Genomic DNA, 19,201 nt, shown 5'->3' with positions numbered 1-19,201 from the left:
TAGCTAACGCATGCGGAGCTTAACACCTAAATGATGGGTTGGTAGGTGCAGCAAACCACCATAGCACACGTTTTCCTATGTAACAAATCTGCACGTTCCGCACATGTATCCTAGAACTTAAAATTTAAAAAAAATCTGGATAGCATAATAGTCAAATGTAAACACAAATCAACCAAACATTTATGTATGTCAAAAATATCCCATTAGCAAAATCAAAACAGAAATGACAAATAGGAAAGACATTTGCAATTCATAGCACAAACTGAGTGCTTATAAGTATTCTTATATAAAAACTTCTAGAAATAGTGAATGAAAAGGCCAATTTTATAGACAAGTAAGCAAAGAATATGAATGAATAGTTCACAGAAAAAATACAAATATCCACTAAAAAAATGAGATGATGCTAAACTTCACCAATAAAAATACAAATTAATATTACACTGAGATAGAATTCCTCAACTATCTGGCAAAATCCAAAACTCCTATAGTACATTATTGGAGAGGCTATGGGGAAACAAACGCTTTCAAATATTGCTGGTGGGAGTAGAAAAAAGGAATAATGAAAAAAAAAAAAAAGCAGGAGATCATGGGAGGATCTCCTCTTGGGAGGACAGAGATCATACTTTGTCCAAAGGACTAGATTGCAGCTCCGGACAGAGCAGTTTGCAGAAGCTCGCATTTGAATTTTAGCTCCATACTGACTGCAAGAACAAACCAGCAATCCTGAGAGGGCCCACACACCCTCTGAAGGAAGTGGACTGCTCCTGCAGGACCCAGGACCCAAATACTGTAAGTCCCCCAACTGCAGAATTGGGAAAGGGAGACCCTCCTTTCCCAAACACCTCCCACTGGAGAGGCTGAAGGTCTGTTTGTGGGAGAAATTTCTGACTTCACCTGGAGCTGAGTCAATTTGGAGAGCCGAGTGAAAAACAGTGGTAGAGGAAGCAGCAGAAAGGACCTGGGATCTCGCTGCATCCCCTAGCAGGCCATTCCTGCCTGGCACCACAGAGATCCATCAGGAGGGTGACCAGAGGAGCAGGGAGTGAAACTCCACAGGGAGAAGGAAATCTCTAGCTGAACTTTGTAACAATTCGAATGGGGTGAGAAGCCTCCTGGCCAGAACTCGGGGGAGGGCGCAAATCCTGTGTGCAGACTCCACAGAGGGGGAAGAGCCAAGCTCTTTTCTTTTGCAGCTGGGAGGTGGGTAGCCCAGGGCAAGTTTTCAAGCCTGTCATGCTGTCTGCCTGGAAACGGATTGGGGGCTGTTGCAGGGGGCACAGTGGGAGTGAAACCAGCCCTTCGGTTTGCATGGGAGCTGGGTGAGGCCTGTGACTGCCGGCTTTCCCCCACTTCCCTGACAACCTGCAGAGACAGCCATAATCCTCCTAGAGATAGGCAGCAACACAATAATAGTGGGAGATTTCAATACTCCACTGACAGCACTAGACCAGCCATCAAGACAGAAAGTCAACAAAGAAACAGTGGATTTAAAATATACCTTGGAACAAATGGACATAACAGATATATACAGAACACTTCATCCAACAACTGCAGAATATACATTCTATTCAACAGTGCATGGAACTTTCTCCAAGATAGACCATATGATAGGCCATAAAACCTCAATCAATTTAAGAAAACTGAAATTATATCAAGCACTCTCTGAGACCACAGTGGAATAAAACTGGAAATCAACTCCAAAAGGAACCTTCAGAACCATGCAAATATATGGAAATTAAATAACTTGCTCCTGAATGAGCAGTGGGTCAAAAACAAAATAAAGATGGAAATTTAAAATTCTTTGAACTGAATGACAATAATGACACAACCTATCTAAACCTTGGGATACAGCAAAGGTGGTGCTAAGAGGAAAGTTCATAGCCCTAAGCACCGACATCAAAAACGCTGAAAGAGCACAAACTCACATTCTAAGGTCACACCTCCACGAACTAGAGAAACAAGAACAAACCAAACCCAAACCCAGCAGAAGAAAGGAAATTACCAAGATCAGAGAACTAAGTGAAATTGAAACAAAAAAATACAAAAGATAAATGAAAAAAAAAGCTGGTTCTTTGAAAAATAATGGGCGTAGTGGCTCTTGCCTGTAATCCCAGCACTTTGGGAGGCTGAGGCAGGTGGATCACCTGAGGTTGGGAGTTCAAGACCAGCCTGACCAACATGGTGAAACCCCATCTCTACTAAAAATACAAAATTAGCCAGGTGTGGTGGCACATGCCTGTAATCCCAGCTACTCAGGAGGCTGAGGCAGGAGAATCGCTTGAACCTGAGAGGCAGAGGTTGCAGTGAGCCGAGATCGTGCCATTGCACTCCAGCCTGGGCAAGAAGAGTGAAACTCTATCTCAAAAAAAAAAAAAAAAAAAAAAAAAAAGAAAGAAAAGAAAAGATAAAATTGATAGACCATTAGCAAAATTAACCAAGAAAAGAAGAGGGAAAATCTAAATAACCTCACTAAGAAACGAAACAGGAGATATTACAACTGGCACCACTGAAATACAAAAGATAATTCAAGGCTACTTTATGAACACCTTTACACACATAAACTAGAAAACTTAGAAGAGATGGGTAAGTTCCTGGAAAAATACAATCCTCCTAGCTTAAATCAGGAAGAATTAGATACCCTGAACAGACCAATAACAAGCAGCAAGATTAAAATGGTAATTTAAAAATTACCAACAAAAATCGTCCAGGACCAGAGGGATTCACAGCAGAATTCTACCAGACATTCAAAGGAGAATTGGTCCCAATCCTTTTGACACTATTCCACAAGATAGAGAAAGAAGGAACCCTCCCTAATTCATTTTATGAAGCCAACATCACCCTAATACCAAAACCAGGAAAGGACATAACCAAAAAAGAAAACTACAGACTGATATCCTTGATGAACATTGATGCTAAAATCCTTAGCAAAATACTAGCTAACTGAATCCAGCAACATATCAAAAAGATAATCCACCATAATCAATTGGGTTTCATACCAGGGATGCAGGAATGGTTTAACATATGTGAATCAATAAGTGTCATTCACCACATAAACAGAATTGAAAACAAAAATCATATGATCATCTCAATAGATGCAGAAAAAGCATTTGACAAAATCCAGCATCAATTTATGATTAAAACTTTCAACAAAATCAGCAAACAAGGGACATCCTCAGTGTAATAAAAGCCATCTATGACAAAGCCACAGCCAACATAATACTGAATGGGGAAAAGTTGAAAGCATTACCTCTGAGAACTGGAAGAAGACAAGGATGCCCACCCTCACCACTCGTCTTCAACACAGTACTGGAAGTCCTAGCCAGAGCAATCAGACAAGAGAAAGAAATAAAGGGCATCCACGTTGGTAAAGAGGAAGTCAAACTGTCACTGTTTGCTGATGATATGATCGTTTACCTTGAAAACCCTAAGGACTCCTCCAGAAAGCTCCTAGAACAAAAATAATTCAGCAAAGTTTCCAGATACAAGATGAATGTACACAAATCAGTAGCTCTTCTATACGCCAACAGCAACCAAGCAGAGAATCAAATCAAGAACTCAACCCCTTTTACAATAGCTCCAACAACAACAACAACAAAAAAAAAACCTTAGAAATATACCTAACCAAGGAATTGAAAGACCTCTACAAGGAGAACTACAAAACTCTGCTGATAGAAATCACAGACAACAAAAACAAATGGAAACACATCCCATGCTCATGAATGCATAGAATCAATATTGTGAAAATGTCCATACTGCCAAAAGCAATCTACAAATTTAACACAATCCCCACCAAAATACCACCATCGTTCTTCACATAGTTAGAAAAAACAATTCTAAAATTCACATGGAACCAAAAAAGAGCCCGCATAGCCAAAGCAAGACTAAGCAAAAAGAACAAATGAGGCATCACACTACCTGATTTCAAACTATACTATAAGGCCATAGTCAACCAAAACAGCATGGTACTGGTATAAAAATAGGCACATAGACCAACGGAACAGAATAGAGAATCCAGAAATAAACCAAAACACTTACAGCCAACTGATCTTTGACAAAGCAAACAAAAACATAAAGTAGGGAAAGGACACCCTTTTCAACAAATGGTGCTAGGATAATTGGCAAGCCACATGTAGGATAATGAAACTGGATTGTCATCTCTCACCTTATACACAAATCAACTCAAGATGGATTAAGGACTTAAACTAAGACCTGAAACTATAAAAATTCTAGAAGATAACATTGGAAAAACCCTTCTAGACATTGGCTTAGGCAAGGATTTCATGACCAAGAACCCAAAAGCAAATGCAATAAAAACAAAGATAAACAGCTGGGACCTAATTAAACTAAAGAGCTTTTGCACGCCAAAATGAACAGTCAGCAGAGTAAACAGAGAACCCACAAAGTGGGAGAAAATCTTCACAATCTATACATCTGACAAAGGACTAATATTCAGAATCTATAATAAACTCAAACAAATCAGTAAGAAAAAAATAAACAATCCCATCAATAAGTGGGCTAAGGACATGAAAAGACAATTCTCAAAAGAAGATATACAAATGGCCAACAAACATGAAAAAATGTTCAACATCACTAATAATCAGGGAAATGCAAATCAAAACCATAATGCAATACCACCTTACTCCTGCAAGAATGAACATAATCAAAAAATCAGAAAACAGTGGATGCTTGCATGGATGCGGTGAAAAGGGAACAATTCTACATTGCTGATGGGAATGTAAACTAGTACAGCTGCTATGGAAAAGAGTGTGGAGATTCCTTAAAGAACTAAAAGTAGAACTACCATTTGATCCAGCAATCCCATTACTGGGTATCTACCCAGAGGAAAATAAGTCATAATTCAAAAAAGATACTTGCACATGCATGTTTATAGCGGCACAATTCACAATAGCAAAATTGGCACAATTCGCAATAGCAAAACCAACCCAAATGCCATCAATCAACGAGTGGATAAAGAAACTGTGATATATATAAATGACGGAATACTATGCAGTCATGAAAAGGAATGAATTAACAGCATTTGCAGTGACCTGGATAAGATTGGAGACTATTATTCTAAGTGAAGTAACTCAGTTATGGAAAACCAAATATCATTTGGGAGCTAAGCTATGAGGATGCAAAGGCATAAGAATGATACAATGGACTTTGGGGACCTGGGGGAAGATTGGGAGGGTGGTGAGGGATAAAAGACTACAAATACGGTACAGTGTATACTGCTCGGGTGATGGGTGCACCAAAATCTTACAAATCACCACTAAAGAACTTATTCATGTAACCAAATACCAGCTGTACCCCAATAACTTATGGAAAAATAAAAAATAAAAATAAAAATGTAAAAAAAAAAAGAAAAATGGAATAACCATCAGGAAGAGGTTTCTGGAAATATATACTAAAATTTCAGATGCATTTACCTTTGATTTATTTCTAGGAATCTCTTTATATATATATATATAGTTATATATATATTTCTTTTTATATATACACACATACATATACATATATATATTACACCCACTATATATACAGAGAGAGAATCATGAGTTGCTTAATAACAGAAATTCGTTCTGAGAAATGTATTATTAGGAGATTCAGTCATTGTGTGAACTCACAGAGTGTATCTACACAAACCTAGTTAGAAACTCAGGCAGTAAGATATAGCCTATTGCTCCTAGGCTACAAACCTGTACCACATGTGACTGTACTGAATACCACAGGCAATTATAACACTAAGTAATTGTGTACCTAAACACAGAAAAGGTACAGTAAAAATATGGTATTATAATCTTATGGGATGGCCATAGTATATGCAGTCGGTCATTGACCAAAACATTATTATGCAGTGCATGACTGTATATTATATAGATATTATCTGTGCTAATATGATAGTTGTAAAATCAACTGCAATTTTTTTGTTCATAAAGCAAAAAATTAGAACACAAGTATCCAGCAGTAGGGAACTGGTTGAATAAATCACAGTGTATCTATACAATAGAAAACTATGCATCTGCAAAAAAGAAAAAGGAAGAGTTCTATCTACTACTGACTTGGAAACATCTCTGGAACAAGGTCTCACTCTGTCATGTGATCTCTGCTTACTGCAACCTGCATGTCCTGGGCTCAAGTGATTCTTCCATGTCAGCCTCCTGAGTAGCTGGGACTACAGACGTGGGCTACCACGTCTGGCTAATTTTTAAACTTTTTTTGTAGAGATGAAGTCTCACTATATTGCCCAGGCTGGTCTTGAACTCCTGGGCTCAAGCAATTCTCCCATCTTAGCCTCTCAAAGTGCTGGGATGGATTGCAGATGTGACCCACCATGCCTGGCCTTTCCAGAATAATTTTTTTTTTGAGACAGTTTCACTCTTGTTGTCCAGGAGTGGAGTGCAATGCAGTGATATCAGCTCACTGCAACCTCCACCTCCCGGGTTCAAGTGATTCTCCTGCCTCAGCCTCCCAAGTAGCTGGGATTACAGGGGTGTGCCACCGTGCCTGGCTAATTTTTGTATTTTTAATAGAGATGAGGTTTTACCATGTTAGTCAGGCTGGTCTCGAACTCCTGACCTCAGGTGATCTGCCCACCTCACCCTCCCAAAGTTCTGGGATTACAGGCGTGAGCCACCATGCCCGGCCCAGAATAAATTTTTATGTTAAAACAAAAGCAAGGAATAAAACAGTGTGTATTCTAGACTACTTTTATGAGACAGGAGGGAAAAGGATGCATTTATATTTGCATAAAGAAATACTGGGAGGATAAAAAATACATGAATACAAACGTTAAACTATAGCAACTAGAGAGAAAAGGGTGGAAATGCAAATAGAGGAATGAGATTTCTATGTGTTTTTTAACATATTTTTATATTTGAATCAAATAATTAAAATGAATAAAATAGAATATTTTCTTAGAATTTGGTGCCAAGTTTTAGAGCAAAGATATCTGAATAAACTTCAGCAAAGTAACGTGGTTTAGATTATGATACAGAGAAATTGCCAATTGTTTACAGCCAATTTGCCAACTTTTTATTAGGGTACTTTCTTTTTAGTGGGACTTGAGAACTCAAAAACTCTTTTTTTTTTTTCTGTTAGAGCCTTTTTGTTAATTGTTTTTTTATTAAGTTATAATTTTATTAATATTTTTTTTCTTTTCTTTTCTTTTATTATACTTTAAGTTTTAGGGTACATGTGCACATTGTGCAGGTTAGTTACATATGTATACATGTGCCATGCTGGTGTGCTGCACCCACTAACTCGTCATCCACCATTAGGTATATCTCCCAATACTATCCCTCCCCCCTCCCCCCACCCCACCACAGTCCCCAGAGTGTGATATTCCCCTTCCTGTGTCCATGTGATCTCATTGTTCAGTTCCCACCTATGAGTGAGAATATGCGGTGTTTGGTTTTTTGTTCTTGCGATAGTTTACTGAGAATGATGATTTCCAATTTCATCCATGTCCCTACAAAGGACATGAACTCATCATTTTTTATGGCTGCATAGTATTCCATGGTGTATATGTGCCACATTTTCTTAATCCAGTCTATCATTGTTGGACATTTGGCTTGGTTCCAAGTCTTTGCTATTGTGAATAATGCCGCAATAAACATACATGTGCATGTGTCTTTATAGCAGCATGATTTATAGTCCTTTGGGTATATACCCAGTAATGGGATGGCTGGGTCAAATGGTATTTCTAGGAGAACTCAAAAACTCTTGAAGAAATCCTTTAGGTCAGACACTGAGAACACAATAATATGGATAGAAGTTCTCGCTTTCAAAGAGTTCAAATCAGGGAGCCAAAAACATAAACATATGATGATAAGGCACAAGAACACCAAGAGCTATACACAAGGTGTAATGTGATTAACTACTTTCATTTGCCAAGGAAGGCTTCCTAGAAGTGATGAGAGCCAAGCTAGATCTACAGGATGACTAGGAGCTTGAAGGTGATCCTGGAAAGAGGGGACATTTCAAGCACAGGGAACGGCATGTTCCATGGTATTTAGGGAACTATAAAGTTCAGTGTTGCTTTTTTTTTTTTTTTTTCCTACAGGATAAAGTTTGACAGGAATAATACAGGGTGGTTGCAAGAGAATTAAAAAAAACTCCAGGCAGCAGTTACACATGACTAGAGACTATGGGCTGATAAAACCCTGAAAAACAAGGTGTGGACCAAGCTGGCTAAGACTGACTGGACCCAAAATGGCACTGGATTTTACCTAGGTTTCACAAATAGGACCTTATTATATGGTCATTAACATACTAAATCACACACCCCCGCCCCCCAGTGCCATGACAGTTCCAAGAACATCCATATTTAGTATAAAAATGGGTAGTACTGCAGTTCTCAGAAATCTGCACCTGTTTCCAGGAATTTTCATGAATATTCCACCCCTTGGTTAAGGAAACCCATAAAGGTAGCAGCCCCAAACCCCCTTGTGGGTGACTCTCTTGAGGACACCCACACTGCCTTTTATTGAGGGTGTACTTTTCCCTTTGCAATTAATCTCTGTAACCTTCACTATTTTCTGACTTGTCCTTGAATTCACTCTTGCGATGGTATCAAGAGCCTGCACAGTGGCTGCAGTCAAGGTCCCACCAGCATTTGGGGACCTCCCCCAGCCCGCTGGTATCAAAAGTACCAGTTTGTTAGCCTCAAAGCAACCCTTCACAACTTGGCTTTCTTTTCATCCTCATTTCTTACCACTGTGGAGGCCTAGAAGTTTACTGGCATATAAGATTTCACAGATAGGGAAGCCTCTGGTCCAGAGAAGCTCCAAAGAGTGGCCCCTTGGAATTGTGGATGTCAAGGAGTTCTGAAGTGGGAACACTGGCTGAGCTAATCAAAGAGTGGTGGCAAGAGTTTGGGGTAGAGAGCAAAACTGTGACCCAGATACATTATACCTCATAAATATTGGAGAGCAAGGCCCATGTGAATATAACTTCATTTACCAAGTAAGTAATGTGTTCCAAGCACTGTCCTCAGAGATCTTTTAATTGCATAAATGATATTATACCTTTACTTAAAATCATTGTGTCTAATGACATTTTAAATGGAAGTAATGAAACTGTGCCACAAAGAGTTAAAGACACCATAACTAACAGAAATTCTTGAGTTTGCAGGATGGCAGATAAGAGAAACAACTTGCTGAAACACTGAAATTCCCTCCATTTGTAAGATCATGAAGCTGGCTGAAATCAGTTGGAACCAATATGACCGACTGGAGTCTGCACAAAACAAGCCTGCTGACATCACAGCCTGAATTTCCACTGCATGTTTCATACTAACTCATTTTTGAATATGCACATGGGACCCACGAAGTAGCATGAAGAGGTAACTGCACATGCCTGAGGACTTTCCAGACCTCACCTTTCCTTCCGCCAATCACCTGCTAATCCCAGAATCCTCCCGCTAAGCCTTTTTAAATAAAATTACTGCCTTAAAGTCAGCACGAGGAGAAAGATTTCAGCTTGACTTGTGTCTCTTGTGAGTCAACTTGCAATATAAAGCTTCTCTCAAAAACCGGGTATCATAATATTGGCTTCTAGCACATTGGGCAGCAAGCCCCCTTTGCTCAATAACAGTAAAACTCCTTTGATATTGTTTGGCTGTGTCCCCACCCAAGTGTGATCTTGCATTGTAGTTCCCATAATCCCTACATGTCAAGGGAGAGACCTTGTGGGAGGTAACTGAATCATGGGGGTGGTTACCCCCATGCTGCTGTTTTCTTGATAGTGAATGAGTTCTCATGAGATCTGATGGTTTTACACGGGGCTTTTCCCTCTTTGCTCAGCAGTGCTCCTTGCTGCCACCATATGAAGAAGGATGTGTTTGCTTCTCCTTCCACCATGACTGTAAGTTTCCTGAGGCCTCCCCAGCCCTGCAGAATTGTGAGTCAATTAAACCTCTTTTCTTTATAAATTACCCAGTCTCAGGTATTTTTTCACAGCAGTGTGAGAAGAGACTAATATAGTAAACTGGTACCAGTAGAGTGGAGTGCTGCTATAAGGATACCTAAAAATGTGGAAGCGACTTTGAAACTGCATAACAGGCAGAGGTTGGAACAGTTTGGAGGGTTCCAAAGAAGACAGGAAAATAAGGAAAAGTTTGGAGCTTCCCAGAGACTTGGGAGGCTCAGAAGACAGGAAGATGTGGGAATGTTTGGAACTTCCTAGAGACTTGTTGAATGGCCTTGACCAAAATACTGATAGTGATATGGACAATGAAGTCCAGGCTGAGGTGGTCTCAGAGGGAGATAAGAAACTTGTTGGGAATTGGAGTAAAAGTCACACTTGCTATGCTTTAGCAAAGAGACAGGTGGCATTTTTCCCCTGCCCTAGAGATCTGCAGAACTTTGAACTTGGGAGAGATGACGTAGGGTACCTGGCAGAAGAAATTTCTAAGTGGTAAAGTGTTCAAGAAGAAGCAGAACACAAACGTTTGGAAAATTTGCAGCCTGACAATGTGATAGAAAAGAAAAACCCATTTTCTGGGCAGAAATTTAAGCCCGTTGCAGAAATTTGCATAGGTAATGAGGAGCCAAATGTTGATTCCCAAGACAATAGGAAAAATGTCTCCAGGCTATGTCAGAGACCTTCACAGCAGCCCCTCCCATCACAGGCCTGGAGGCCTAGGAGGAAAAAATGGTTTCATGGGCCGGGTCCAGGGCCTCCCTGCTGTATGCAGCCTCAGGACTTGGTGCCCTGTGTCCCAGCTGTGGCTAAAAGGGGCCAAGGTACAGTGTGGCCATGGCTTCAGAGGGTGCAAGCTCCAAGCCTTGGCAGCTTCCACATGGTGTTGAGCCTGCAGGTGCACAGAAGTCAAGGACTGAGGTTTGGGAACCTCTGCCTAGATTTCAGAAGATGCCTGGATGTCCAAGCAGTAGTGTGCTGCAGGAATGGAGCCCTTGTGGAGAACCTCTCCTAGGGCAGTGCAGAAGGGAAATGTGGTGTGGGAGCCCCCACACTGAGATCCCACTGGGGCACTGCCTAGTGGAGCTGTGAGAAGAGGACCACTGTCCTCTAGACCCCAGAATGGTAGATCCACAGAGAGCTTGCACCGTGTATCTGGAAAAGCCACAGACACCCAACAGCAGCCCATGAAAGCAGCCAGGAGGGGAGTATAACCTGCAAAGCCACAGGGGTAGAGCTAACCAAGACCATGGGAACTCACCTCTTATATCAGTGTGACCTGGATGTGAGACCTGGAGTCAAAGGAGATCATTTTAGAGCTTTAAGATCTGACTGACCCATCGGATTTCAGACTTGCATGGGGTCTGTAGCCCCTTCATTTTGGCCAATTTCTCCCATTTTGGATAGGTGTATTTACCCAATGCCTGTACCCCCATAGTATCTAGGAAGTAACTAACTTGCTTTTGATTTTACAGGCTCATAGATGGAAGGGACTTGCCTTGTCTCAGATGAGACTTTGGACTTGGACATTTGGGTTAATGATAGAATGAGTTAAGATATTGGGGCACTGTTGGGAAGGCATGATTGTGTTTTGAAATGTGACGACATGAGATTTGGGAGGGGCCGGGGGAGGAATGATATGGTTTGGCTGTGTCTGCACCCAAATGTCATCTTGAATTGTAGTTCCCATAACCTCCACATGTTGTGGGAGGTAATTGAATCATGGAGGTAGTTACCCCTATGCTGCTGTTTTTGTGATAGTGAGTTCTCATGAGATCTGATGGTTTTATAAGGAGCTTTTCCCTCTTTGCTTAGCACTACTCCTTGCCGCCACCATGCAAAGAACAATGTGTTTGCTTCCCCTTCTGCCATGATTGTAGGTGTCCTGAGGCCTCCCAGCCCTGCAGAACAGTGAGTGAATTAAACCTCTTTCCTTTATAAATTACTCAGCCTTGGGTATTTCTTCACAGCAGTGTGAGAATGGACTAATATAGCCTTCATATTCAGGTCCTATAAATTCTGCCCCATCCTACATCTCTGACTGCACTCTGTAACACCTCTCCCTTTCATAATGGCCTTTTCTCAGTCTCTAGAAAGTGCCAAGCTGCCTTATTTCTGTAATGCCCTCTATCCTTTGCTCCTTTGCCTAAATCCTACTTATCCTTCTACTGTAACTTTAAATGTCACCTCCTAACCAAACCTTTCTCCTAACCAGCTCACCACCATCTAAATTTTACTTCCAATTAAACACTTGATATACTTTCTTTCATATCAGATTTCATCATTGTGTTTATGTATTTACTTGTTTAAAGAAGACTTTATTCCCCCTCATGAAACTACAAGCTTCATGAGAGTAGGAATTATTTGTTTTGTTGAGTACTTTAAAAAGTGCCTAGCACATAGTAATCCACAAAGGCTTGTGAAAAGAATGCATAAATTTAATCCTCATAACAACTTTGCCAAATGATATTCTTATCCTTCCTTTCAGATGTGGAAATTGAGGCTCATAAAGGTTAACATCCCCAAATAAGGGTCTACGTCCAAATCCTATGCTCTTAAGTCCTATATTGTCTCCCAAATGAAGAGGGTCTTCTCGTGAAAATGGCCTGGAAGTGGTATAGGGAGCTAAAGATGATAAAAACCTATCTCCTGGCTTTGGCTTATGAGGTATGGACAAAGAACAGGCTCTGTTGGAGGGAACTGAAAATGAAGTAAGCTCCTTGGGGTTTCAATTTTAAAAGATGTGATGGAGTGCCCTGTTAAAAGGTTGAGGGCACAGAGGAAGTGGGTTTGCAGATAAATAGGAATGAGTTAGGAGACTGGACAGCTGTAAGAAAATGAGCAAGGAGAGTGGATGAGACTTCTCAGCAGCCATGGGGATAAAAGGATGAATGCATTGTTGACTGAATGCAAGTGTACACTTAAGTATTTAGTGACTGTGTGAACAAGAAGCTTGGACAGAATTAGAGCAGCTGAACTGCCTAGGAGTATCGGGAAGTACTCAAACAGTATTAGGCTATAGTACTTACTGTATACTCCTTCAATTTTTGTGAGCACTCTTCTCCCTGGAGGGACTTCTACTCCACTAATATGGCCTATCTACTCCTCATCAAGTTCTGGCATAACCTCTAGTTACTCTACCATCTACTGCTTCACTTCTGTTAACTTAGCTCTATCCTGCTGCAAGGGTCAGGGGCAAGAAAATAAATCATGATCAGTAGTGAAAGTAGTAACTACACAAAGAAGGCCAGGAATGAATTTTTCAGAAGATGAGTTAAAAGTTTCTGAAGCATGTTTCATACCACCTCTTACATTCTCAGTAGTAGGTAGAAACCTGGGTGTAATCCTAGACCACTTAAGAATGTGCCAGAGTTTAGGCCTAAAAGGAATGGATGTCAATGGTTTTTCAAAATACGAAAGTACCCAACTTCAGACATATATTCCATTATAGTTAAAAAGCTGTGTATTTTTTACATTCAGAGATGGGTAGAAAGTAAGGGTTTGGTGTGTCAATCACTAAAAAGCAAAATATTTAGTACTGCCTTAGGAGTTGCTCAGAAAAACTGTACCTTACAACTGGAATCCAAATAATCCAAAACAGATATAAAGTATGTAGAAATAGGCTGATAGCTCCTGAATGATGACAACAGCTGGCTCCCAGCCACTCTGCCTAGAAGCAGTTGCTAGGCAGCACCACATTTGCTCACAAATGCACTTTTCACCCAATAATCAGTATTATAACACACATGCCACCCTCCGATCAGTTTTTCTGCTCCTGTGTAGTTTAAAGGCAAAAGACTCTGGTAAATATTATTTATGATGGCGAATAGTCTCAGGGACAGTAAACCATGCTAGGCTATTTCCTGGACAAAAAGATGAAGACCTTTGTCATCTAGGTCTAGGAGTGCTTTGGAGAAGTCTGAAAGCTACATATTTCATTTGTTCTTAATTTATTTCAGGCTGAGTATAAATGTTATCCAGGGACCAGGATAATGAAATAATAGAGCTGAAACTTACTGTCTTTCAAGTTCTTTTTTTGGTTCACAAAAAGCCAATACTGCAAACCATTCAATTTAATTCATTTAAAAAATATTTAGGTAGACAGAATTTGAGAATTTGAACTATATAAAGGACACAAAGATATAATCATTCCAGAATTTTAAAGTTTTCCTTTGTTTTATATTTTCTTACTGCTTATCAAAAATTTGGAGTTCAAATTTTTATAGACTCAACCATTTTCTGCACAAAATTGACATTATTAGGATAAAGCAAAGCTGGATTGCCTAGCTTATTGATGATATGGATGACATAATATGACAATTTTAAAAGTTTGATTCTAGTAATGTGATAAAAGGTAAAAGTATGATTGTCCCTGTTCTGAATGAAGTGCATTCTGCTACGTCGACACATTTACTGGATGTACTACCTTCAACACTTCCAAAAGCAATCTTTTCCTCAAAGGAGCTTTTACCATATTCCCATTTTTGCCAAAAGCACATTCCTGGTCCTTCAGACTTAAAATCTTAGAGTCATAATTGCTTCCTGCAGTACATATTCTCCAAAATCTAATAACCAAATCTTGGTTCTTATCCTTTTGCTTTCTTTTCTACTAACCCATTCCATCTACTAATGCTTTTCTGTATTTACTTTATTCTATTTGCCAGAAAAGAATATTTCTCTATTTCTCACAGTTAAATGTGGGAGATTGGTCAGAGTGGTGGGAGAAACTATAGGTAAAGAAACAGGCCTTCTGAAAGGTCAGAAGGCTCTGGCTCTGCATACCTTTGGGGGAGAATAGCTGAAGGCAGCTGTTCTCTGACCCTGAGGCAGAGGGCAAAGAGTAGGTACAAGGAAGTGTAGGGGAATTTATCTCAAACAGGCTTGTTTACTTATGTTGTCCAGAAACCAACCTTTGATCATCTGCGTGCATGACTGCTCCCTAAAATGGGAAACAATAATGTTAATTACCTGCAGATTGTGTTTGCTCCAGGCTTTTGGCATTTTGTCTATGCTGAATGAAAGCAAGCAGCTCCAGCTTATCAAGACTGCTCACTCTTGGGCTGCTAGTGCCAGGCAGTCACCTAGCTGCTCTTACACTGCATACCTGTGTCTGAGTACTCCTTTCATCCATTGCTGGGCCAGGGTCTGTGGGACAGACCTGGCAGTTAAAGCTAACATTTTTAAGTTTGGAATTAAGAGGATTCAATCTTAGCTCCTTAGCTGCCTAACAAACTTTCTGATTCTAGCCACTCTATCCCTTCCTCAAAATTCCTGGCACATAGTAGACACCCATATATTTATTTGTTCACATGTAGTAGACACCCATATATTTGCTGGTTCCTTAGAAGGAAGACACCAAATAAATACATCGGTGTCTACTACATGCCAGGAATTTTTGTTTCACCTGGAATGCCCCTAATGCTTTTGTTTCTAATCAGTCTCAAATTTAGTTATCCCATAAAACTGTTCCAAATTCCCACTTCCTCCATGGCACTTTCTTTAGTCCTTCAAACTCATACTAATAATGAGAATGCCCCAACTGGTATCTTTCAAGTAAATTGGCATCTTCATGTGTTCTAGAATGCTAGTCAATCAAGAATCTTAAATCATGAAGAGTTCATGTTTGTATAGTGCTTATTTTGTGCCAAGCACTAATCTACATACTTTACATCTATTACATTTAAATATCACAACTTCTTGAAATAGATACCATTATAATCCCTATTTTTCAAATGAGGAAACTGGAGCACAGGGATGCTATATGATCTGCCCAAGGTAACACGGTAAGCCGTAGAGCTGGGACTCAAACTCAAGACAACACTGGTTTCAGAACCCATGCTCTAAACCAATAATCCTTATTATGAGTTCCTTCCAGTTTTAAAATTTCTACACATTATTTGGCCAACCCCATCATTTGACTGAAGAGAAACCAAGGAGGAGAGAGATTCAGTGAACTGCTGAAAGTTGCATAAAGCAGAGTTTTTCAAAATTTAGTGTGCATATAAATCACGCAGAGATCCTTAAAAATGCAGATTCTTATTGAATAGGTATAGGATGAAGGCTGAGATTCTACATTTCAAACAAGCTCCCATGATACTGATTTTAAAAACCACGTTCCACACCTTAAGTAGCAAGAACAAAGGGAAATGCTAGCTGAGACTGGAACTCAGTTCTTACTTACTACATCCAGTGCATCTGGCCTAGTAGGTAGGAGGGAGAAAATGTGACTGAGAAGTTACTGGGAAAAAAATCTACCTCATTTTCAATCACCCTAAAATTATTCATGCCGAAATAGATAACAAATTCACCTTTTAGTAATCCAAATACTAACATAAAAAAGTTGTTTAAAATGTTTTTGATTATTAAAGTGGTGACAAATGAATAGTAAATAAGATGCCTTCAGTGAAGACCCTGTTAAAATTTTAAATCCTGAAAGTTCCTGAAATTTAAATGATCCCATAGCTTTGAAGAGTTATAATATCAATTATTCTACTTATAGGAATATATAATAAATACTCCAAATAAAGAAAAATATTTATGCACACTGATACTTATCACTGTTCATAGTCATTTATAAACAACTGTAAGCAACTTCAGTATTTAACAATATAGAATAGTAATACAGTAAGATGCACCCTTGGGAAAATGCAGATTAAGAAAACAGATCTAATTTAACTTAACAGAAGGATAAATTAAAACACACACATTTAAAGTTAACTTCCCTGCAGAGACTTAAATAACCATTGGAGATCTGGGAATAGGAAATAAGCTTCTTATTTTTAAATTCATCCTAATTCACTATGCCATTTAAAATTTAAGAATTTTCTAAAAATATTAAAGGTTTTATTACTGGCTTCTCTGTAAATAATTATAAGATGTAATGGTTATAATAACCTTATGACATTAAGTATTAAACTAAAAGATACCCATGTTATAAATATATTTTTAATCATTCAACATCTTTGGTAATAAATACATTTTTAAGAGCATTTAATAAAATACCAATAATTGATAAACTGAAACCAACCAGTTCTATGTTAATCCTTTCTCAATTTGTATAGTTTATTTTAAAGCTATATCCCACAAAGCATCATTTAATAAAACTATTGCATCCCTGGTCCCAGGAGTAACATCAATTTCTAGCAGGGTTCACCTTTAACAGTAGTATTTTATATTTTCAATGAACGAGAGCCCATATAAGTTCAAACACCTTTCCTATTTACCATGTCTTTTAATTCTGTTTTTAGCTCATGGGTTTCATTTGTACACTCTCACTAATCAGTCCTAATGCTACAACTATTTTTTAAAAATTCACACAAAATATATATATTTATGGTATACAACATAATGTTTTGAAGTATGTATATATTGTGGAATGGCTAAAGTAAGCTAATTAACATATGTATTACCTCATGTATTTGTGACGAAAACACCTAAAATCTACTCTCTAAGCAAATTTCAAGTGTATAATACATTTCATTAAATACAATCACCATAATGTACAAGAAATCTCTTGAATTTATTTCTCATAACCGAAATTTTGTATCCTTGACCAACATTTCCTCAATACCCACTTTCTACAACCCCAGACCCAGTCAGTCACCATTCTGCTCTCTGCTTCTATGAGTTCAACTCTCCTAGAGTCCACATTTAAGTGAGATCATGTAGTTTTTGTGTTTCTGTGCCTGGCTTATTTCACTTAACATAATATCTTCAAGGTTTATCCATGTGATTGCAAATGGCAAGACTCCCTTTTTTAAGGCTGAATAGCATCCATTCATCTGTTGATGAACACTTAGGTTGAATCCATATCTTGGTTATTGTGAACAGTGCTCAATGAACATAGGGGTGCAGATATCCCACCAACATACTTTCCTTTGCTGGATCATATGGTAGATCTGTTTTTTGAGGAACCTTCATACTGCTTTTCACACTAACTTACATTCCCAGCAACCGTATATAACAGTTCCTTTACTTTCCACACTTATTCATCTTTTTGATAATAGCCATCCTAATAGGTGTCAGGTGATATCTTATTAGAGTTTTAATTTGAATTTCCCTGATGATTAATGATGTTGAGCATGTTTTTTTCATATACCTGTTTGGTCATTTATATGTGTTTTTTTGAGAAATATCTATTCAGGTTCTTTTGCACTTTTTTTTTTTTTTTTTTTTTTTTTTTTGGCAGAGTCTCGCTCTGTCTCCCAGGCTGGAGTGCAGTGGCGTGATCTCGGCCCACTGCAAGCTCCGCCTCCTGGGTTCACGCTATTCTCCTGCCTCAGCATCCCGAGTAGCTGGCACTACAGGCGCCCGCCACCACGCCCGGCTAATTTTTTTTGTATTTTTAGTAGAGACGGGGTTTCACTGTGTTAGCCAGGATGGTCTCTATCTCCTGACCTCATGATCCGCCCACCTTGGCCTCCCAAAGTGCTGGGATTACAGGCCTTTTGCACATTTTTAAATTGGCTTATTTGCTTTCTTGCTATTGAATTGTTTGAGTTGCTTATATATTTTAGATATTGACCCCTTATCAGATGCATGGTTTGCAAATATCTTCACCCATTCTGTAAGTTGTCTTTTCACTCTGTTGATTATTTCCTTTATGTGCAGAGCTTTTTAGTTTGATGTAATCTCATTTGTTTATTTTTGCTTTTGTTGCTTGTGCTTTTGGAGTCATCTCCAAAAAAAACATCCCCCAAAGTAATGTCATAGAGCTTTCCCCCTGTGTTTTTTCCTAGTAGTTTTACAGTTTCAGGTCTTATGTTTAAGTGTGTTTCATCTATTTTGAGTTGATTTTTTATATGGTGTGATATAAGGGTCTGATTTCATTCTTCTGCATGTGGATATTCAGTTTTCCCTACACTATTTATTGAAGAGATTGTTCTTTCTCCCATTGTATATGCTTGACATCTTTGCCAAAAATAAATTAACTGTAAAAGCGTGGATTTATTTCTGGGCTCTCTATTCTGTGTGTCTGTTTTTAATGTCAGTACCATGCTGTTTTGATTACTGTAGCCTTGCCTTATATTTTGAAATCAGACAGTGTGATGCCTCCAGCTTTGTTCTTTTTGCTCAAGATTGCATTCGCTATTCAGGGTCTCTTGTGGTTCCATACAAATTTTAGTATTATTTTTTCTATTTCTGTGAAAATTGTCATTGGAATTTTGATAGGGATTATGTTGAACCTGTAGATCGCTTTGTAATATGGACATTTAACAATATCAGTTCTCCTAATCCATGAACACAAGATATCTTTCTGTGTCTTCAATTTATTTCA

General features: G+C 38.9%; 1 protein-coding gene across 5 annotated transcripts in view; it reads right to left on the bottom strand.

Annotated features, from left to right (window-relative positions):
• AKAP19 (A-kinase anchoring protein 19) overlaps positions 1-19,201 on the bottom strand; it is a 323,923-nt gene that overhangs the window by 52,142 nt on the left and 252,580 nt on the right. Inside the window, exon 1 of one of the 5 annotated variants that reach the window (NM_001042521.2) lies at positions 13,494-13,566. The exons of 3 other annotated variants lie outside the window; for them this stretch is intronic. The gene's annotated coding sequence lies outside the window, so the exon portion shown is untranslated. Of the gene's footprint in view, positions 1-894; positions 1,098-13,493; positions 13,567-19,201 lie in introns of those variants that run through there. One more of the 5 variants, NM_001042520.2, reaches the window with a different exon arrangement.

Source organism: Homo sapiens, chromosome 2, assembly GCF_000001405.40.
Source record: "Homo sapiens chromosome 2, GRCh38.p14 Primary Assembly".
NCBI lineage: Eukaryota > Metazoa > Chordata > Mammalia > Primates > Hominidae > Homo > Homo sapiens.
The sequence above is the reverse complement of the archived record's forward strand: the minus strand, read 5'-3'. Positions and strand labels throughout refer to the sequence as shown.